A 17,993-nucleotide genomic window follows, 5' to 3' on the forward strand; every position below is an offset into this window, starting at 1 on the left:
CAGGCCCTGAGTCCTGGGCTCCAGGGTTCCCTGCACTGAGCATTTTTTTTTTTTTTTAGACAGAGTTTGGCTCTTGTTGCCCAAGCTGGAGTGCAATGATGCAATCTCGGCTCACTGCAACTACTGCCTTCCGGGTTCAAGCGATTCTCCTGCCTCAGCCTCCCGAGTAGCTGGGATTACAGGCACACACCACCACACCTGGCTAATTTTTTTGTATTTTTAGTAGAAACAGGGTTTCACCATGTTAGCCAGGCTGGTCTTGAAGTCCTGACCTCAGGTGATCCACCTGTCTCGGCCTCCCAAAGTGCTGGGATTACAGGTGTGAGCCACCATGCCTGGCCCCCTGCACTGAGCTTTTAAGAGATCATTTAGGCCTGCGTGGTGGCTCACACCTGTAAACCCAGCATTTTGGGAGGCTGAAGTGGGCAGATTACCTGAGGTCAGGAGTTCAAGACCAGCCCGGCCAACATGGCAAAACCCCGTCTCTACTAAAAACACAAAAATTAGCCAGGCGTGGTGGCAGGCACCTGTAATCTCAGCTACTCCGGAGGCTGAGGCAGGAGAATTGCTTGAATCCAGAAGGCAGAGTTTGCAGTGAGCTGAGATCGTGCTACTGCATTCCAGCCCGGGTGACAGAGTGAGACTCCACCTCAAAACGAAAGAAAGAAAAAAAGAGATCATTTAAAAGTACCCAGAAGAATGGACAGAGTGAGGAGGTGTTGTACTGTGGTTAAGAGCAAGGATTTGGTGTCGAGCTGCTTGGGCTGGAGCTTGTTGCTTCCCCACTGCTTGACCTTACGTATATTATTTAACCTTGAGGAGTCTTGGTTTCCCATCTGCAGATTAGGGTATGAAGTGCCTGCTATATTAGGGTTTTGCGAGGACCGATGAGATTGGGACATGAAGTACTTAACTACAGTGCCTGGCACACATTGGGCTGTTAGGGACAGAGCTCCAATGCTCACATCAGTAATAGAAGAGAGACAGTGTCCTGTCTCTTCTGTCTCCCTAAGCCTGTTTTCCTCTATAATTTGAGGTCTCAAAGTGAGCACTGAGCTGATTTATGCAAATGAATCCAGTAGGGCCTATCGCCCAAGCTGACCTTTCTAGGGTATACAGGGTAGCTTGGCCAGGCTACAGAAATGGGAAAATAGGTGCAACCTTCCTGATCCTCCTGAAATCCTCAAGTGTTGTCTTGAAGTTGAGGGGAACCAGGACCAGGCTGCGGGGAGTACCACAGGGACTGCAGAAAGGGCCTGGCCTCCCCTCCCGAAACACTGCACATCTGGAGTGATCTGCCCATCTGGCTGTATCCCTGGGGCAATGGCCACAGCTGCTATTTGAGGGAGGAGACATCCAGCTCCTTAGCCAGGGCCTGGGGCCGGGGGGTGGGGGGGTGGTGGGTAGTGGGGGCTATAAATAAGAGGACCAGGGGGGCAAGGTTGACCTTTTGGGGCGGGGGGCAGGAGCTGGTGACTTCCCCCTCTTTGCTTGAGTCCAGAGCCAGAGTTTTAGCAAAACAGGAAGAGGCAGCAGCAGCTTCTGGGAAAGTGGGAGTGGCTCCCCTTCCCCCACTTGCCTGGGGCCTTCGGATCCCAGCCAGGACCTGGGAGAGGTGGAGTCATCTAGGCAAGGAGAGGGAGGGGCAGACCCACGCAGACTGGGCCCCAGCTTCAGTGCCCTCAAATGGCGCAGCCGGGGCACAGGAAAAGGAGAATGAGACAGAGAAGGGCAGCCCAATGGAGTATATCTGCCACCCCTCGTCCCCTCCTGTTCCCTTCTATAGGCATTAGAAATGGAGCTCAAAATGTGCCTGTGACCCAGGTAGTGTACATGGAAGTTCGAGGTCAAGTTGAGCACACCTCCATCTCTCATCCCCTCCCAGCCTGTGGTGAGCTAAGCCTAAGACAGAGTGCGTGGGAGGGAGGGCTCTAGACAGGAGGAAGGACACCTCTGGGCTTCTGGAAAGAGATCCAGGACCTGGCCCAGGTGGAGTGATAGAAAAATCTTCCAATGAACTATCAAGGTGAGGGGATCCAAAGGTCTGGGTGGTCCTGGGTGAGTGTTTTTCCAGAATAATGGGGCATCTACAGGGACAAGCTCAGGAGAGCTAAGCCTCAGTCCAGAGACCCTCATGAAGTCAAAGACTGAAGGAATTATCCAGGAAATGTTGCCTGGCTTTGCTTCGCCTGAGTGAGGCTGGCCACTGAGAATCTGTCCTTCAGTGTCTGTCTGGAGACATCTGGTTGGAGCTCTGGCTGGCCCACACCTGTAGTAGGGCCTGCACCTGTGTCTGTCATGTACTGCCCTTGTCTCCCGAGCCTGGAGCCCCACACTTCACCTGCTGGGAGGGTCTAGATAAGCGCTGTCCAATAGAAACGGAATGTGAGCCACATATGTAACTTATTTTCTATTAGCCACATCAAAAAAAGGAAAAATAAACAGGTGAAATTCATTTTAGTAGTATATTTATGTAACCTAATATAGTAAATCTAAAACATTATTTTGGTATGCAATCAAAATAAAAAATTACTAATGAAATCTTTTACATTTTTTTTCCATACTAAGTGTTTGAAAGCCAGTGTATATTTTATACTAACAGCACATTTCAATTCTGACTGGCCACATTTCAAGTGCTTAGTAGCCACATGTGGCCACTGGCTACTGTATGGACAGCACAAGTTTAGACTTATAGCTTTACCTCTTCTTCATCCCTTCCAGTCTCTTATTGGGGAAGAGGCTCAAGAGGTGAAGGAAAAAGCTGGTGAGGCCAGTGTTAAGGGTTAATTTGCTCTAGGAGGGTGACCACTCCCTTTGGGTTTCAAGCATCTATCTCTAGACCTGGATCCGTTTTAGTGTCCAGGCAGGCAAGGAAATTGAGGCATAGAGCAGCATCTTCCCTGACAACTGGCCTTCTCCTGCCCTTCCCAGTGCTCCTTCTCTGAGCAGAAGGTTGATAGAATCCGATTACCTCTTCAGGCGCATTAGCCTCCACCTTCCTCTTTCCTCTTCCAAAAGCGACTCCAAACCCAAAGGTATTTGAGTAGCTGAGTTAAGGAATATGGGAGGAGAAGCAAATTTGGAGGAAAATGCAGAATGGAGCTTTGCACAGGTGGAGTTTGAGGTGTTGGTGGGATGAGCAAGGGGGGTTGTTGAGTGGACAGTTGGTATCTGGAGCTCAGGGAAGAATTTGGAGGTCATCAGTGAGAGAGGAAATTGTAGGAATGAATGACACCACAAGAGCAGGGGAGAAGAGAGGAGAGAAGGGGAGGGCAGGGAAGATGGCTAAATACAGAAACCTGAGAAAACAAAGACTTCAGATGGGCGAGGAGTGGAAGCTGGAGCAGGCCGGGAGCAGTCACAGATTTCAATGAAGCAAGAGGAAGTGCATCGGAATCCCAAGTGGGAGAGAATATCAAGAAGGAGAGACTCGCACACGGTTGCAGTTGACAATGCTTTAAAATCATTTTTTTGTTGTTGTTTGTTTTTGTTTGAGATGAAGTCTTGCTCTGTGGCCCAGGCTGGAGTGCAATGGCATGATCAGGGCTCACTGCAACCTCCGACTCCCAGGTTCAAGTGATTCTCCTGCCTCAGCCTCCCGAGTAGCTGGGACTACAGGCACCCGCCACCAAGCCCGGCTAATTTCTATATTTTTAGTAGAGACAGGGTTTCACCATGTTGGCCAGGCTGGTCTGACCTCAGGCAATCTGCCTGCCTCGGCCTCCCAAAGTGCTGGGATTACAGGTATGAGCCACCGCACCCGGCCCTAAAATCATTCTTATAAAGAGAGCTCACACAAACTGTTAAGAAGCACTAGAACAGTGGAGACTAAAGTTCAAAGCCCAGAAACAGACTCTCCTGGTACAGAGGAAACACAACTCACAAGCAGAGGTAGGGGTATGTTCAACCTGATCGTCCTCAAAGTAATGCCAATTAAAATGAGACAAAGGTAGGTGCCTTTTTGAAACATTAGCGAGAGCTCGGTGAAGTGTGTGTGCTGTCGGTAATGGCGTAACCTCTTTTGAAATCAGTTTGGCAATATATAGTAAGAGCTATAATGTGCTGTTACCCTTTGGCTCAATAACCCCACCCAGTGTATCCTAAACTAGATTTCTATAGTCAAAATTGGGGGAGGAGGAGCGGAGTATGTGCCTAATGATGTCCCCCATCACACTGCCTATAATATAGAAAATTAGAGACAATTTGAACACTTATGATTGGAAAATTGTGGAGGTAAATTATGATACTATATTTCCACTTAATAGAAAACTATGAAGCTGTTAGGAAGATGTTTATATGCAACACAGCATCACAAGAGAATAGAGATTGGTACATACCCCATGATTGCAACTGTATTAAAAAACATATAGGCATGGAGGAGAAGGTGAAGAGGAAATATGTGTCATAGGTAATGATTATGTAGGGTGGAATGGGTATATATGGTTTTGGTCTCATTTAATGAGTCTTAACATTGCGGAGAGCGGGAATGAGGGTTGACCAGAAGCTGAGATTTGGGTCTCAGCTATAGCAAGGGCCCTGACAACCTTCCAGAGGCCACAAATGCATTTATCTGGCAACTTAATAGACTGAGCTCCGACCGCAAGGCAGGTGCGGTCACTGTGGGTATCAACTCAGCATTCTCCTGATAGGAAAAAGCCCACCGTGAGGGGTGATGGCCAGGTGCTCACTGCAGATTCCCTCCCATATATGGGAGGCTCCTGGAGCTCCATAGTCTCCTCTACTACTGCTGAGGAGCAGGCCATGGCAGGCGCCTGTGGGGACAGCCCCCAGAGGACAGGGCTGACTGCAGGAGGAACAGAGCATCACAGTGAGGTGAGCTCAGCGGGTATGAGGGCCTCTCTGCTTTGGGGTGGGGGTTGGCGGGCTGTGGTCGGCCACCTGCTGTTTCACATCACCCCCTGAAGGTGACATGAGATGCAGGGGCCATCACCTTCACGGCGCCCCCAGGAACTCTACCCGGGCCCCCACCTACAGGCGCCATTAGGCCTCCTGCTCCTCCCCGTTCCACTCTCTTCCCACAACAACACACTGGGGCCTTGAAATAACACATCTTTCTTTACGCCATCATTTCCACAGAATTTGCCTATGATTCATTTGTTGTCAAGAGGTATTAAAACCTCCAGCTCCCAGGCACCCTGGTCTTTGTTCCCCTCCCTCCTAGGTCCCACCACTCCCCTTCCCACGGTGTCCTGCCCAGCTCTTACCCAGTCTCCCTGAGCCCCAGCATCCCAAACTCAGCGCCGCTGCCCCCACAACCACCCCCCAACCTCCTCCCCACTTGGCCTCTTGAGGAACAGTGGGAAGGGGCTGGGGCAGGTCCACATGGCACCCACCCACCTCCCCAGCCCAGCTCCACCAGAGGAGGGCCCTGCTGGGGGCCTCTAGCCTTAGGACTTGGAGATGAAGCCCTGGAAACTCTTTGCCTAAAAACAGGAGGCAGTGGAACCCTCAGCCCCAGAAGCTGCCCCTTTCTGTGACTCCCCAACCCCCTCACTTGGGCAGGATGGATTTTCCTCATACCTCGAGGCCTGGTCCCTGGGTCCCTCCCCGTCACTGTTTCTGACTAGGCACAGGGGTATAGAGTTTCCACCGTGTGTGTGTGTGTGTGTGTGTGTGTGTGTGCGCGCGCGCGCGTGCGCGCGCACGCGTGTATGTTGGGGAGTAGGAAGAGCTGTCTTCTCACACCCTCATTACCCAGTAAGGCTTTGGGGTTCCCCTCCCAGTCCCTCCCCAGGGCTGTGTAGGTGTGTCAGGGAGCTAGAAGGTGGGGGTGGCAGGAGAGGAAGAGGGCGATGGGCGAGGGAGCTGGGGGGCTGCTGGGAGCCTGGCTGGGGTGACAGGAGCTGCTGTGGTCGGGTTATCTGATGTGAGGAGACAGGTGTGCAGCTTCGAGGCTCTGGGGGTGGGGGAAGAGCAGCCTGAGAGAGAAGTAGAAACAGTAGAAGCAGCCTGGAGCCAGCGAGGTAGACAGGAAAGACAGAGATGGGAGAAAAGAGCCTTAGTGAACCCAGGAAGGCCTCTCCCCAGAGGAGGATCACTTTTTTCCTCAAGTTCTGGAGGCAACACCAGAGCAGGCAGGCAGGTGGGCAGGGGGGTGTCCCCAGCCTCTGCCGTGGTCCAACTTCCCCAGCTCGCCAGCTCCCAGGGAACCAGGCAGCCTCCCCTCAACACTGTGGGGCTGATGGGCTCGAAGGTCCAGCCTTATCCCTGAATCAGAGCAGTTGGAGACAGTTGAGGCTCTATAATCTCGGTTGGGGGTTAACGGGTGGAGGAGGCTTTGCAGGAGGAGATAATGGGGCAGACCTCAGGTCTTCCGCACTACCCACCAGCACAACACCGTGGAGCTGGGGGAGTAAGCGGAGTTGTTGGCACCATGGGCCGGGCCAGGCGTGCGTCTGCCATCCTAGGAGCTGGGTTGAGGGCCAGCTTGGCCTTTCACAAGAGGGGTCCACCTGTGAATCCCTGCTTCTACCCCGTCTATCCCTGACTTGGAATGTGTTGGAGGAGCTGCTTATAAGGAAGACGATATCAGGTTAGACGTTATCTCTTTAGAGGAGAGGGTCCCCAGAGGATGATGAAAATTACAGTAATAAAGGCTAACATTTACCGAGCACCGAACTCCATGCCAAGCGCAATTCTAAATACTACATAGTAGCTCATGTGGTCTTCACAACACCTAGGAAGTAAGTACCATTACTCTCTTTGCTTTACAGAAGACAGACAAATAGCCAGCAGTTCCACAGCGACTCAGGGGACTGCCAGGGTTCAAATCCTGCTCCTGCTAGATGCCACTTCTGCTGCTCTTCATTGCTGCCCTAGACAAGGCCAGGCCCTGCGGCGTGCTGCGAGCCTTCCTTCCGTTATCTTTACCAGCTCTACATGGTCATTCACAGATGAGAAAGCTGAAGATCAGAGAGCTCACACATTTCCCACAAGGTTACACAGTCAGTAAGAGACACTATCAGGATTCCAATGACCTGCTGTTAAAGTTCATCTCTTATTCACTCATTGCCTCCCTCAAGGCTGAAGAGTGGGGTGGAGGGGAGACCAGCAGAGCTACTGAGCTCAATCTGCCTCCTTGGCCCTCCCAGCCCAGAGCTCTGCCAGCGGTGGTAGGAGGAGTGTGGTAAGTATTTGCTGATGAATGAACAACCGAAGGACAAAATAATGAACTGTCATCTTCCAAGGCAAAGGATTGCAGAAGCCACTGATATCCTGCCCACCGCCCTCCCCATCCACTCCTCTACCACCTCCAGTCCTTCCTGTGAACACAGCAGAGGCAGGAGCCTCTTGGGGTGGGGTCCCTATCAGGGAGGAAGTGCAGCTGGCTTCTCCCCCACCCCCTTTATCACTTCTCCCCCATCCCTACTTTATCACCCAGGGCCTCCACAATCCCCTCCCTGTCCCTCTCCGGGGGCTCCTGGGTAGGAGAGGGAAAGACATGTAAATCAGTGGGGCTAGGGGAAGTGGAGGAAGCAGAAAGGATACCAGGAGCATTTCCCCTACACGCTTAACCTGGGGCTCACAGTCCTTGCCAGGCTGGGCCAGTGGCTTAGGGGACCAAGCCCTTCCTGATAGGCCGCTTGATCTATCTGGCCAGCCTAGTAGGCAAATGGGGAAATAGTAGTCAGGAGTTGACAAAGTTGGGGCACCTGCCCTCACTTTGGCCCTAGCCCCATGCCGGCTGCCACAGATGTTCACAGGTGTCTGCAGGATTCTTTTGTTTTTGTTGTTTTTTGACATAGGCTCTCGCTCTATTGCCCAGGCTAGAGTGCAGTGGTGCGATCATGGCTCATTGCAGACTCAACCTCCGGAGCTCAGGCAGTCCTCCCACCTTGGCCCCCCAGGTAGCTAGGACTACAGGCACATGCCACCAGGCCCAGCTAATTTATTTTTAAAATTTGTTTGTAGAGATGCCGCCTCTCTATGTTGCCCAGGCTGGTCTTGAAATCCTGGCCTCAAGTAATCCTCCCTCCCCGGCCTCCCAAAGTGTTGGGATTACAGGCATGAGCCACCATGTCCAGCCAGGATTTGGGATTGGGTCAGGGTGGCATGGGCCTTTCCAGAGGCCCAGTAGGCTTCTGAGTGCAAGTGAAGAGTGCAGCGGGGAGGCCCTACGGAGCTAAATAAGGGCTGTCGACCAGGCTATGTGTGACTTCTCCTTTCACCACCAAGGTCTGGAGGTCTAAGGGGAGCTCTGCCCACTACCCCCAGGAGCTCACGGGAGCTTCTTCCTGCCTTCCTCCTCTCAGCAACCAGTATCTAGGAGGCCATGCCTTCCTTCCCAGAGTCCAGCTCAGACAATTTGCAGAACAACCCAGCTTGAAATTTGATACTTGATCCACCCCTTGTGCATCCCCTAGATCAAATAACCCTGGATCTGTGACCCTTGGCTCAGATCTGTCTAATTCTTAAAGAGTCTGTTCAGACTTGGAGTGAGGCTGTTGAGTCCTGAGGAGGGAGGGGCTGTGGCAGCATTGACAAGTTCCCCGCATTCCTGTGGTACCTGAGTCTTTCCAATGACTCCCCTCACCTGAGGCTCAGTCTCTCATTACCCACCCGCTTCCCTTCCTTATCGGTGAGGTCTTGAACAACTGAACCAAAGAGCTTCTGGTTCATGAGCTAATGTTAACCTGCAAGAGGACACAGTCTTTGGCTCTGTCTCAGTCAACTCTGAATATGGTCTGCAGACCTAGCTTTTGGAAGATGCAAGAGCAGGAGGGATGGTGAGAATACTGGATGACAAAATGAGGATTCAAAACATTCGAGCAGGCCAGTGTGGGATAATAAAATCAGATAAATATAAAGAGGGACAAATGCTACATTCTGCATTTAGTCAAAAACAAATTGGTGGCCAGGCACGGTGGCTCACACCTGTAACCCCAGCACTTTGAGAGGCCAAGGCTTGGGAGGAAGGGAGGGGGTTTGCTTCAAGTCAGGAGTTCAGGACTAGCCTAGGCAACATAGAGAGACCTCGTCTTTACAAAACACAAAAAAATTAGCTGAGTGTGCCGGTGGTCCCAGCTGCTCAGGAGGCTGAGATGAGAGGATTGCTTGAGCCCAGGAGTTTGAGTCTGCAGTGAGCTATGATCATGCACTCCGGCCTAGGCCACAGAGAGACCATCTCTCTCTCTTTCTGTCCTTCTCTTTCACACATACACACACACACACACACACACACACACACACACACACACGAATTAGCCAAGTACAGAATGAGGGGGATGTGGCAGACACTTTAGGGAGAGGAGTTAGTATGAAGTTTCTGAAGCCACATGGAATTAACTTCACAGGTTCTGAAGTTGAAAGGAAGGTGTTTAAATTTGCATAAGTCTGTTTGCATTTCATTTTCTAGCAGGGACATTATTAGCCTTTTTGACTCTCATTTTCTCACAAGTGTACAGTGGAGTTTTCCGGAGGCTTCTTGACACATGATATCATAACAGGTTGAATGCAGAAGCCAATATGAGAATCTGGCTGCCTTCTACTAAACCAGACATTAAAGAGATTTGCAAAACTGTGAAACAATACTGTCTTGTCATTAAATTAGTTTTACTTTGGAAACTGGTTATTTTAAAGAAAAAAATGTGTTATTTGTTCTAACTTTTAATAGATTCATTATTGCCACATTTAAAGAATACACTTTAAAAATGTCTGTTTTAATTTCTAATGGTACATATTGATGAATCTAACCCACACACACAAAAGTTCTTTGGGGTCCTTCTTTTTAAGAGAGTAAAAGGATGCCAGGACCCAAATGCTTGAGAAACTCTGGTTTAGAGGCAAGCCACAGAGCTGCACGTTCAGAGAACTGCACGTACCCAGACACGGTGGTCGGTTAAGTTTCAATGTCTGGAACAAAGACAAATGACACTGAAGAGATCATGGTGGGGTTTATACCTCATCAGAGAAGCAGGGTTCCAACAAACATGGGGATAAATGAATCGATCAAACCCGATTCTTGAAACTTGTCTTGATTCCCTTTTCTCTGGGCATAAGCCACCCCTTGCCAGAGAATACTGACATTAATTATAGGTCAGTAAATACGCATGTAGTGAAGTCCAGGTGTTGGTGATTGTTGAAGGATTGACATTGACAAATAAAGAACATGACTGAAAGAAGTTGGGGACAGTAGTCACTAGAGTTCCATGCATTTCAGATTTATATTCCTATCTTCCCACCTCTTTCCCACACTTTTCTCCCCAGGCAGCTTTCGGCTGGGGCCAATTTGGTTTATTAAGTGGCACACCTGCCCCCTGGTGGCCAGGTGGTACAATGACACCTTCTCTCAGTTCTGGTAGATATCATGGAGCAGGAGTCCCTAGCACCAAGAAGCTGAGATCCGGAAGAGGCGCCCCAAAAAATCAGCCTGGAGTGAATCTAGAGGGCCCATCAGGGATCGGAGGTCGGAATGTGGGAGCAATGTCACCTCCTTGATAAAAACTTATTTGGCCATCTCAGCAACCCAATAGTGATGTTGGCCAACACATGATTGATAACTACGTGCCAGGTACTGTTATAAATGCTTTACACAGATTATATCACAACAACAGCAAATCTATGAGGTAGGTACTATTATTGTTACCATTCTGTGAAGAAACTGAGGCTCAAAAACATTAAGTAACTTGCCCAGGGTCATACAAATAGCAAATGGCAGAGCCAGGCCTGGGAGACAGCAGTTTACTTGTTAACTGTTACTTTTAACTTGTTAACACTTTGCAGCTTCCACTTGGCATGCCTAGTACTCATCTGTCTGTAGGGCTGTCTTCTCCCACTGCACAGTGCTTTTCTTGGGGGTGGCGACTGTCTTGTTCATCGCCATATCCCCAGCACTGAGCTCGGTGGTGTGGCTGGTTAGAAACACTGGAAGGACTACATAACTTGGCTGGACCTCAGAGGGAACCTGCAGCCTCGCTCACTGTCAGCACGGACTATGCTCAGAGGCCCGGGGCACAAGACCCTGGGAGGCCCTTGGGTGAGGTGTGAGAGGGTCAGATACTCCCTGTTGCCTGGGAGGAGAAGCCAGAGAGCAGATCCCTAACCCCATGTCGCTGGCATGAGGAGAGGTAAGCACCACCAGATGCCCTCAGTAGCAGAGACTCAGAGCCTTGCTGAATCTCACTCATATCATGGAGATAGAGAAAGGGTGGAAGGGGGATGTGATTGGGGCTTTGGGGGCGGGGGGCCAGGCAAGTGGCTCAAAGCTATCCCTGTAGGGCAGTAGCACCACCTCGTGGTGAAACTCAAGATGATTTAGGAAAAATAACCCAGCTAATCCATAACTGAGGGGAGGCTGGGAACCCCCTCCTTTGGAGTCAGCACTCTCCTTGGATAGAGCCACAGGAGAGGGCCTGGAACTCTTCCAGCGTCTCCCCAAGCCAGAGCAGCTCACTCCAGAAGTGCTCACCAGGTTGTATAGAATGTGAAGAAAACACCCCTTATGGACATGTCCTATGGGCCACAGGCTGAAAAGAGCCGCCTAGCTGAGGTCATGTCAATGAAATCACATGCTCTTCAGGGAACAGCCTGCGTCCAATGACTACCTGATGCAGGAATATAGAAGTGTCTCCCTCACTTCATCTTGGGGCAATCCAAAGGGCCATCCCAGCTTCAGAGATCCCCACACGGGTTGATTGAGACCTTCACTGAGACTGCTTTGCAGCCCAACTTCTCCCACTGCTAATTCTACTTCTTTCCCTTCCACCAGGGCTGATAATCCTGAGACTGCTCCCTAACAAGCTCCCTGCACTTCAACCTGCATTTCAGAGTCTACGTCCCTGGAACCCAACTTGCAACACCATCCCGTATATCATATATCACATGCGTGCATACAGAGATTCGGAGCAGCTGTCTGGAGCAGCGAGCTCTCAGATTCCCCCTGCCAGCCACAGGCTCCACACCCTGCTGTGCTTCTGGGTCTTGAGGAGCACAGACTCCCCATCAGCCTCACGGGCTCCCTGCCCACAATGAGGACTAGTTGCCTATAGGATGTCAGCATGATGAGCCATCTCCTTGGCCATGCTGGAGGTGTCAGACAGCATCCATCCTTCTTGTCATCTGCAGGGACCATGGGGCAGGCAGACCGACCTGCACTGCACAGGCAGCCTGCAAGGAGCCTGGTAGAAGCTGGGGAAATTGAAGGGCTGTGGTCACTCCTGGCAGGCCCTGTTTGCTTGCTCCAGGGCTAAAGGAATCAATACTCCTAGCACACCAGTGAGCTATTTATACCACATGATGCTTTGAGCCTATCAACCCCATGGTCTGTGCAGTGTTTTTGCTTTATGTCTCTTTTAAGAAGCAGACTCATTCGAACTACCCCAGGTGTGGCATAGCCCATTGTAAGGGGAGGATGTTCCCTATAGCACTTCCATATGATGTCAAGTTAGTGGCCATTCTGCCCTACAGATCAACAGAAGCACATGACGCCAGCATCCTCATGGAGTCATTCACAATTAGTACCAGATAAGAATGCATTGTGTAGACCAGTGCTGCCCCATAGACTATTCTGCGATGATGAAAATGTCACGCTTGTAATCCCAGCACTTTGGGAGGCTGAGGCGGGCAGATAACTTGAGGTCAGGAGTTCAAGACCAGCCTGGACAACATGGTGAAACCCTGTCTCTACTAAAAATACAAAACTTAGCCAGGCATGGTGTCAGGTGCCTGTAATCCCAGCTACTCATGAGGCTGAGGCAGGAGAATGGTTTGAAACTGGGAGGCAGAGGTTGCAGTGAGCCGAGATTGTGCCACTGCACTCCAGCCTGGGTGACAGAGCAAGACTCTGTCTCAAAAAAAAAAAAGAAGAAAAAAGAAAGAAAAAAGAAAGAAAGAAGAAAGAAAAAAGGAAGAAAATGTTGTGTATTTGCACTGTCTCTTACGGTAGCCCTGAGGTTATCAAATACTGGAACTGTGGCTTGTGCGGTTGACAAGCTAGATGTTTACCTTTATTTCATTTAAATACTCACATGTAGCTAGTGGCTACTGGATTGAACAGTGTAGGCATAGAACCAAAGCTTGGAATATGAAAACTTGAAAACACTTGATCCTAATTATGCAACCTTCCTGGGGTATATTCCTCTTGGTTTACCTGGAAAAGCGCATTATAACACAGCCTTGGAAATTTTGTGTTCTTCTAGGTCAGCTATAAAAATGCTACATAAGATCCTTCTAACAGTGTATCAGAACTCCATTCTCCACATTTCTCCAGCCAGAGACATGCCCATTTATGCAGCTGTTGATTTCCTTTCTCTAAGTCCCTTCATGTTTCACAAAATAACCCTCAAGTTCTAACCCCAATTCCCCTAAGTCCATCTCATCCCACTGAAACACATTTTAGCCTTTGGTTTGAAATATTTTCAGATGTTTCTGAAAAATTAGAGTGAATCACATCCCCAGGCCAACTTATCCTCAATCAATACATTAGCTGGCATGATTTCCTTATTTTCAGATCACAATGCTGTGTTCTTGTTTACTGTGCCTAGCAATGCTACCCTTCATCATAAACCCCACTTCCTTGGGAAGCAGAATGGAGTGCATCGGCATAAGTTGGGCCCCTTAGGAGTCCTGTTTCTGCACAGCAGTCATTTGTAATCCTCCAGGTCACTGGCACAGCCGCCATCTCTAATGGCAGACACAGTTTTGCCAGTAGCTGTTTGGTTTTCATTTTTGAGGGTCTCACGTAGGTGTCATATATTGACTGCACACTTCCTGGGAGTAGAGCACAGTTTGGTCCAGCACCTCTAATTTTCCTGGCTCAGGGCCTGCTTTAGGAATGGGAACCTCTTTTATCTCCTCTCTAGGAGAGAGCTAGCAAGACCATCAGTCGTCTGTCAGGTCCCCCAACTCAATAGGAAGCAGGACAATGTAGCAGTTAATTTGTGGCTTCTGAACCTAGCTGCTGAAGGTTCAAATCCCATCCCTTGCTAGTGTGGCATTGCTCAAGCTATCCTTTCTGTCAAATGGGGGTAATAATGATTCATCTCCCATAAGGTCCTTATAAGGATAAGGCAAATTGGTTTGCATAAAGCATTTATTTACAGCAGTACTTGCAACAAAGTAAGTGCTATATAAGTATGAGCCATTTTTATTACCATAAGCAAAGCTTTCTACATTGGTTGACTTGACAAACTTCTGGCAAACTTTTTTTCTCTTTGGAAATCATTCAGCAGGCACTGTTTACATCCTTTCGCTGCCATATCTCTAGCTTTCACTAAATCTGCCACACATTCCTGCCTTCTCTGTTGACCTCGCTTGGATTCTCCTACATGCTTCCAGTTAGCCAGCCAGAGGATTTTCCTGTCTCTGGGAATCTTGTGGAAAATCTTGCATTTTGGGGCACCTTCTCCTTCAGTTATAATGATATACCTTAAAAGTTTTACATTTACAAATGTCTATTTCACACTCTCATTCTAAAGTAGAATCGATGATGACCTTTTCTCCCCGTTCAGCCCCATAAAAACTCATTTTCCCCTCTTTTCTTTTCCTCCCAGCTCCTAGACTTCCTTTGGAGGAGTGGCCTAGGTGGTGGGGCCCAGGGCTGAGTAACTGATATTTCCAGGAGTTCCCCGAAGAAGGCAGGGCCAGAGGGAGAGCTGGGAAGGTGGTGACATTACAAAGACAAATGCATGTTATAGATGAGGCAACAGCATTATCCAAGGCTGAGGTGGAGAGCCCAGCAGGCCAGGGCCACATCGTGGTGGGGTAGGGTCTGATTCACATTGAGGCAGAGGTGAGTCTCCTTCCTTCTCCTTCTGATGGGTTGGTGGAGTTACAAGCCAGGGAAGGAAGGAAAGGGTCCCAGATCCAGACTTGCTCTTTCTGAAATCCAGGGCTTCCCCCAGGGACTGGGTCAGCCACCTGGGGAATGAGAGTGGGGGTCTGAGCTCAAACATGGTGTAGTGAAAAGGACACCGGACCATGACTCCAAAATCTGGTCCTGTCCTGGTCCACTTCTAAGACGGAGTTTCGCTCTTGTTGTCCAGGTTGGAGAGTAACGGCACGATCTCAGCTCACTGCAACCTCCACCTCCTGGGTTCAATTCTTCTGCCTCAGCCTCCTGAGTAGCTGGGATTACAGGCTTGCGCCACCATGCCCGGCTATTTTTTTTTTTTTTTTTTTTGTATTTTTAATAGAGACAGGGTTTCTCCATGTTGGTCAGGTTGGTCTCGAACTCCCGACCTCAGGTGATCCACCTACCTCGACCTCCCAAACTGCTGGGATTACAGGCGTGAGCCACCGCGCCGGGCCTGTCCTGGCCCACTTCTAGCTAGTTATATATGCTTGGGTGAGTCACGCCCTCCTCTGTCAGTTTTCCTGAATGAGGGGATTGACTCGTTTAGCAACTTACAAGTGTTTTCTCCCACTGAAGAGCAAGCTGGACCAATACGTTCTGCAGCTAAAATCAAACAAGGGTCTCTCCCTAGACCCTTGTAAAATAACAACAGCAATAATAATTAATGTACAGAAGTTTCACAATGTAAGTTCTCCCCCCATAAATATCTCCAAATCAGTGGTACCTGCTACCCTGTATATTAGACTATAATACAAATGGAGTCTGAGTCTGAAAACAACTCATATCTAATAAATTTAAGATTAAGCGATATATATGCTATTCTGCAGTAAGGAACGTGGCTTTCAGATGTTTTTCCACCTGAAGAATTCTGAGAGACATGGGGCCAGGTGGACACCAAGGCTCTTGCAGTGTGAAGTCTGATTCCTCTCTGGGTTTTCAGGGAACTACGGATGCAGGTGCAAGGACACAGCTTCCAGGAGTTGGGGCAGTCACGTTCCCACTGACTTTAACATTCCTGGTGACTCAGGGAATGCGGCCGCATTCCCCAAACTCAAGCACTGATCTGAAGAAGCCTCTGTGATCCACCTCGAAGAACGCCTTTCTGTACCGGTCCCGCACACCTACAGCTCACTCTCACAAAGACCCCACCTTGGAGTAAACGGACAGACGCTTCCCACCAGCTGGGCTGGGCTGGCTGCAGAGAGCATGCACTTGAAGTTGTATCACTCCGCCCCTGCCTCACAGGCACCTTTTGACTTTTGGGTGGTGGAGTGAGAATAAGAAGGCACCTTACCCTACATCACGGAACCCCCAAACACTCTCTCTGACTAGCCACCCGAGACTGCCCCGCTCTCCCTTCCCACACTCTGGGGTGCGGCAGCGCTAGCTCTTAGCCCTGTGGGTGAACAGCGGCCTTGCAACCACATTGAGGCGGCAGGGAGATCATGACTCAGCCGCTGGGGTCTGAAAATTCTTCTCCTCCATCCCACCCTGCCAGATGGAGAAGATGCGGCTCACTGCTTCTCCAGACCCTCTCCCCTGGGGAGGGGGTGGGGGAGCAGGCTCTCGGCTACTCTCGGTGATCCGAGGAGGACAGGGAGGGCTGGCTCTCCTGGGCAGGAGGTAAGGCACTGGCAGGGGGAGGACGAGGTCGGCAGGTGCTTTTCTGCAAACTGGGGACAATTCAGTCCTGCTACATGGATCCGTGGAAGGAGGGCTTCCACCTCAACCAACCCCTTAGACCCAGGGCGAGGAACTGTGAGCTTGGTGACAGGGACAGCTGTCATATTCTTCTGTGAGGCTGTTTTTGTCTGTTTTTCCTCCTTGGGTCTCTCAGCAGGTGGGTTCGTGCCTGGTGCTCCAGTGATGGGAAGAAAACCCACCTCACCACAGCTACTGCCCGTGAGAATATAACCAGGGCAATGGGATGTTGGTGGGCACTGAAGGGGGTGGGGTGGGAGCTGTGGGCCGATTATTTATCGTGAGTAGGCAGGAGAGGGAGACCCCACTAGGCGCTGGACAAGCGGGGCCTGCAGTGGGGGGAGGTGCAGGTGTCTCTGTCCCTGAGGAATGGATGCATTTCTCCTGTCTGTTCCCTCAACATCAGTCAGCAGCCACTTAGGCAGCGGTGGAGGCATCTCTGGGCAAGGCCCTGCCTCCAGCCTCTGCCCTCTGCCCCCACTTGGGTTTCTTTGTCAAACAAACAGCAACTCCTCATGGCTGAGGTCTCAAGGGACCGGGGAAAAGCCCGCAGGAAAGGGGTTAGGTTGGACAGGAGAGAGAATGGGCTGGGTGGATAGGGGAGGTGGCAGAGGAGGGGCTGAACCCCAGACGGGGTGAGGAGGGCTGCTGAGTAGCCGCCAGCCCCGGGCCTGGCACGTGGCCCTGGAGGAGCAGCCCCACCCAGGCACCGCCACAGGCTGTCCTAGTCAGGAGATCTCATTGCCAAACACTTCGAGCACAAGGGGCGTTAGCTTCATGCTGCACTCAGGCTGGAAGGAGAGGCAGCGGTACTGCTTGGAGTGCTCCTCATTGAGGCTGCGCAGGTCGGCTAGCTTCTGGATCATCTTGGCATAGAGCAGGTGGCTGCCCGGGGGCGGGTGGCGGCAGCGGATGTACGTCTGCAGTGTGTTGGACAGGCGGTCCTGGATGGCCTCAATCAGCGCGGCGTCCTGCACCCCAGGACGATCTGTGGGCACGGGGATAGAGAAGAAGGCACAGGAGCTCTCAGCTGGGCCCCTCACTGCTCAATCCCACCACCCCCCACCCACACAGACACTCAACGGCAGCACCCCCTAGGCCACCCCTCTATGACTGCTGACCGGTGATACCACTGCCTGGCCCCAAAGCCCTCCAGTGACTTCTCCGTGCATTTAGGATCCAGACCTAGGTCCTTCCATGGGCGCACCTGGCCCTGTCCCTGCCTGGCCTTGCTCCCTGTCCATGCTCTGTCCATCCCTCAGCGTCCCGATGCGCCATGCTCTCTGGCCACCAGCCTTCACATCTGTGCTCCCTCTGCTTGGAACTCTGCTCTGCTATCTTTGCCAGACTCTTACTGATCCTTTGGATAACAGCTTAAAAGGTCTTCCTCCAAAAGGCCATTCCTGGCAACACTCTACCTCTGTAGCCCAGACCACGTCAGCTTCCCTCCTTCTATTCTACCCTTCTGTAGCATCACTTA

The 17,993-nt window shown here is 50.8% G+C and overlaps 1 protein-coding gene and 1 long non-coding RNA gene across 11 annotated transcripts in view, besides 4 other annotated features; one reads left to right on the plus strand and one right to left on the minus strand.

Moving 5' to 3' along the window:
• Positions 612–791: an enhancer, noted in NCBI's record as "active region_6268". NCBI's record gives its function as "activates an Ori minimal core promoter by ATAC-STARR-seq in GM12878 lymphoblastoid cells {active_cell/tissue: GM12878}" and the evidence as "EXISTENCE:reporter gene assay evidence [ECO:0000049][PMID:35858748]".
• Positions 1,653–12,604, plus strand: LINC02354 (long intergenic non-protein coding RNA 2354). Of its 3 annotated transcripts, none has more exons than XR_007063292.1 (3): positions 1,653–2,026; positions 6,735–7,147; positions 10,314–12,604. It is a non-coding gene; the product is annotated as a long intergenic non-protein coding RNA 2354 (long non-coding RNA). The 3 variants fall into 3 exon arrangements; XR_001749114.2 differs by lacking the exon at positions 1,653–2,026 and adding an exon at positions 3,845–3,949 and having other exon boundaries at positions 10,314–10,621; XR_007063291.1 differs by lacking the exon at positions 10,314–12,604 and having other exon boundaries at positions 6,735–9,546.
• Positions 4,528–4,577: an enhancer, noted in NCBI's record as "active region_6269". NCBI's record gives its function as "activates an Ori minimal core promoter by ATAC-STARR-seq in GM12878 lymphoblastoid cells {active_cell/tissue: GM12878}" and the evidence as "EXISTENCE:reporter gene assay evidence [ECO:0000049][PMID:35858748]".
• The window catches only part of VDR (vitamin D receptor), a 63,458-nt gene continuing 59,497 nt past the window's right edge, over positions 14,033–17,993 (minus strand). For all 8 annotated transcript variants that reach the window (NM_001374662.1, NM_000376.3, NM_001364085.2 and 5 more), the window contains one exon: positions 14,033–17,501. In NM_001374662.1, the coding sequence (NP_001361591.1) occupies positions 17,242–17,501 (260 nt within the window). In that variant the 3' untranslated portion in view covers positions 14,033–17,241. The remainder of the gene's footprint in view (positions 17,502–17,993) is intronic.
• Positions 15,705–16,278: an enhancer, noted in NCBI's record as "H3K4me1 hESC enhancer chr12:48236992-48237565 (GRCh37/hg19 assembly coordinates)". NCBI's record gives its function as "activates a minimal SCP1, AML or CMV promoter by ChIP-STARR-seq in naive and primed H9 embryonic stem cells {active_cell/tissue: H9 hESC(naive and primed)}" and the evidence as "EXISTENCE:reporter gene assay evidence [ECO:0000049][PMID:30033119]".
• Positions 16,279–16,851: an enhancer, noted in NCBI's record as "H3K4me1 hESC enhancer chr12:48237566-48238138 (GRCh37/hg19 assembly coordinates)". NCBI's record gives its function as "activates a minimal SCP1, AML or CMV promoter by ChIP-STARR-seq in naive and primed H9 embryonic stem cells {active_cell/tissue: H9 hESC(naive and primed)}" and the evidence as "EXISTENCE:reporter gene assay evidence [ECO:0000049][PMID:30033119]".

The sequence above is a fragment of the Homo sapiens genome, chromosome 12 (genome assembly GCF_000001405.40).
Source record: "Homo sapiens chromosome 12, GRCh38.p14 Primary Assembly".
NCBI classification, from domain to species: Eukaryota; Metazoa; Chordata; class Mammalia; order Primates; family Hominidae; genus Homo; species Homo sapiens.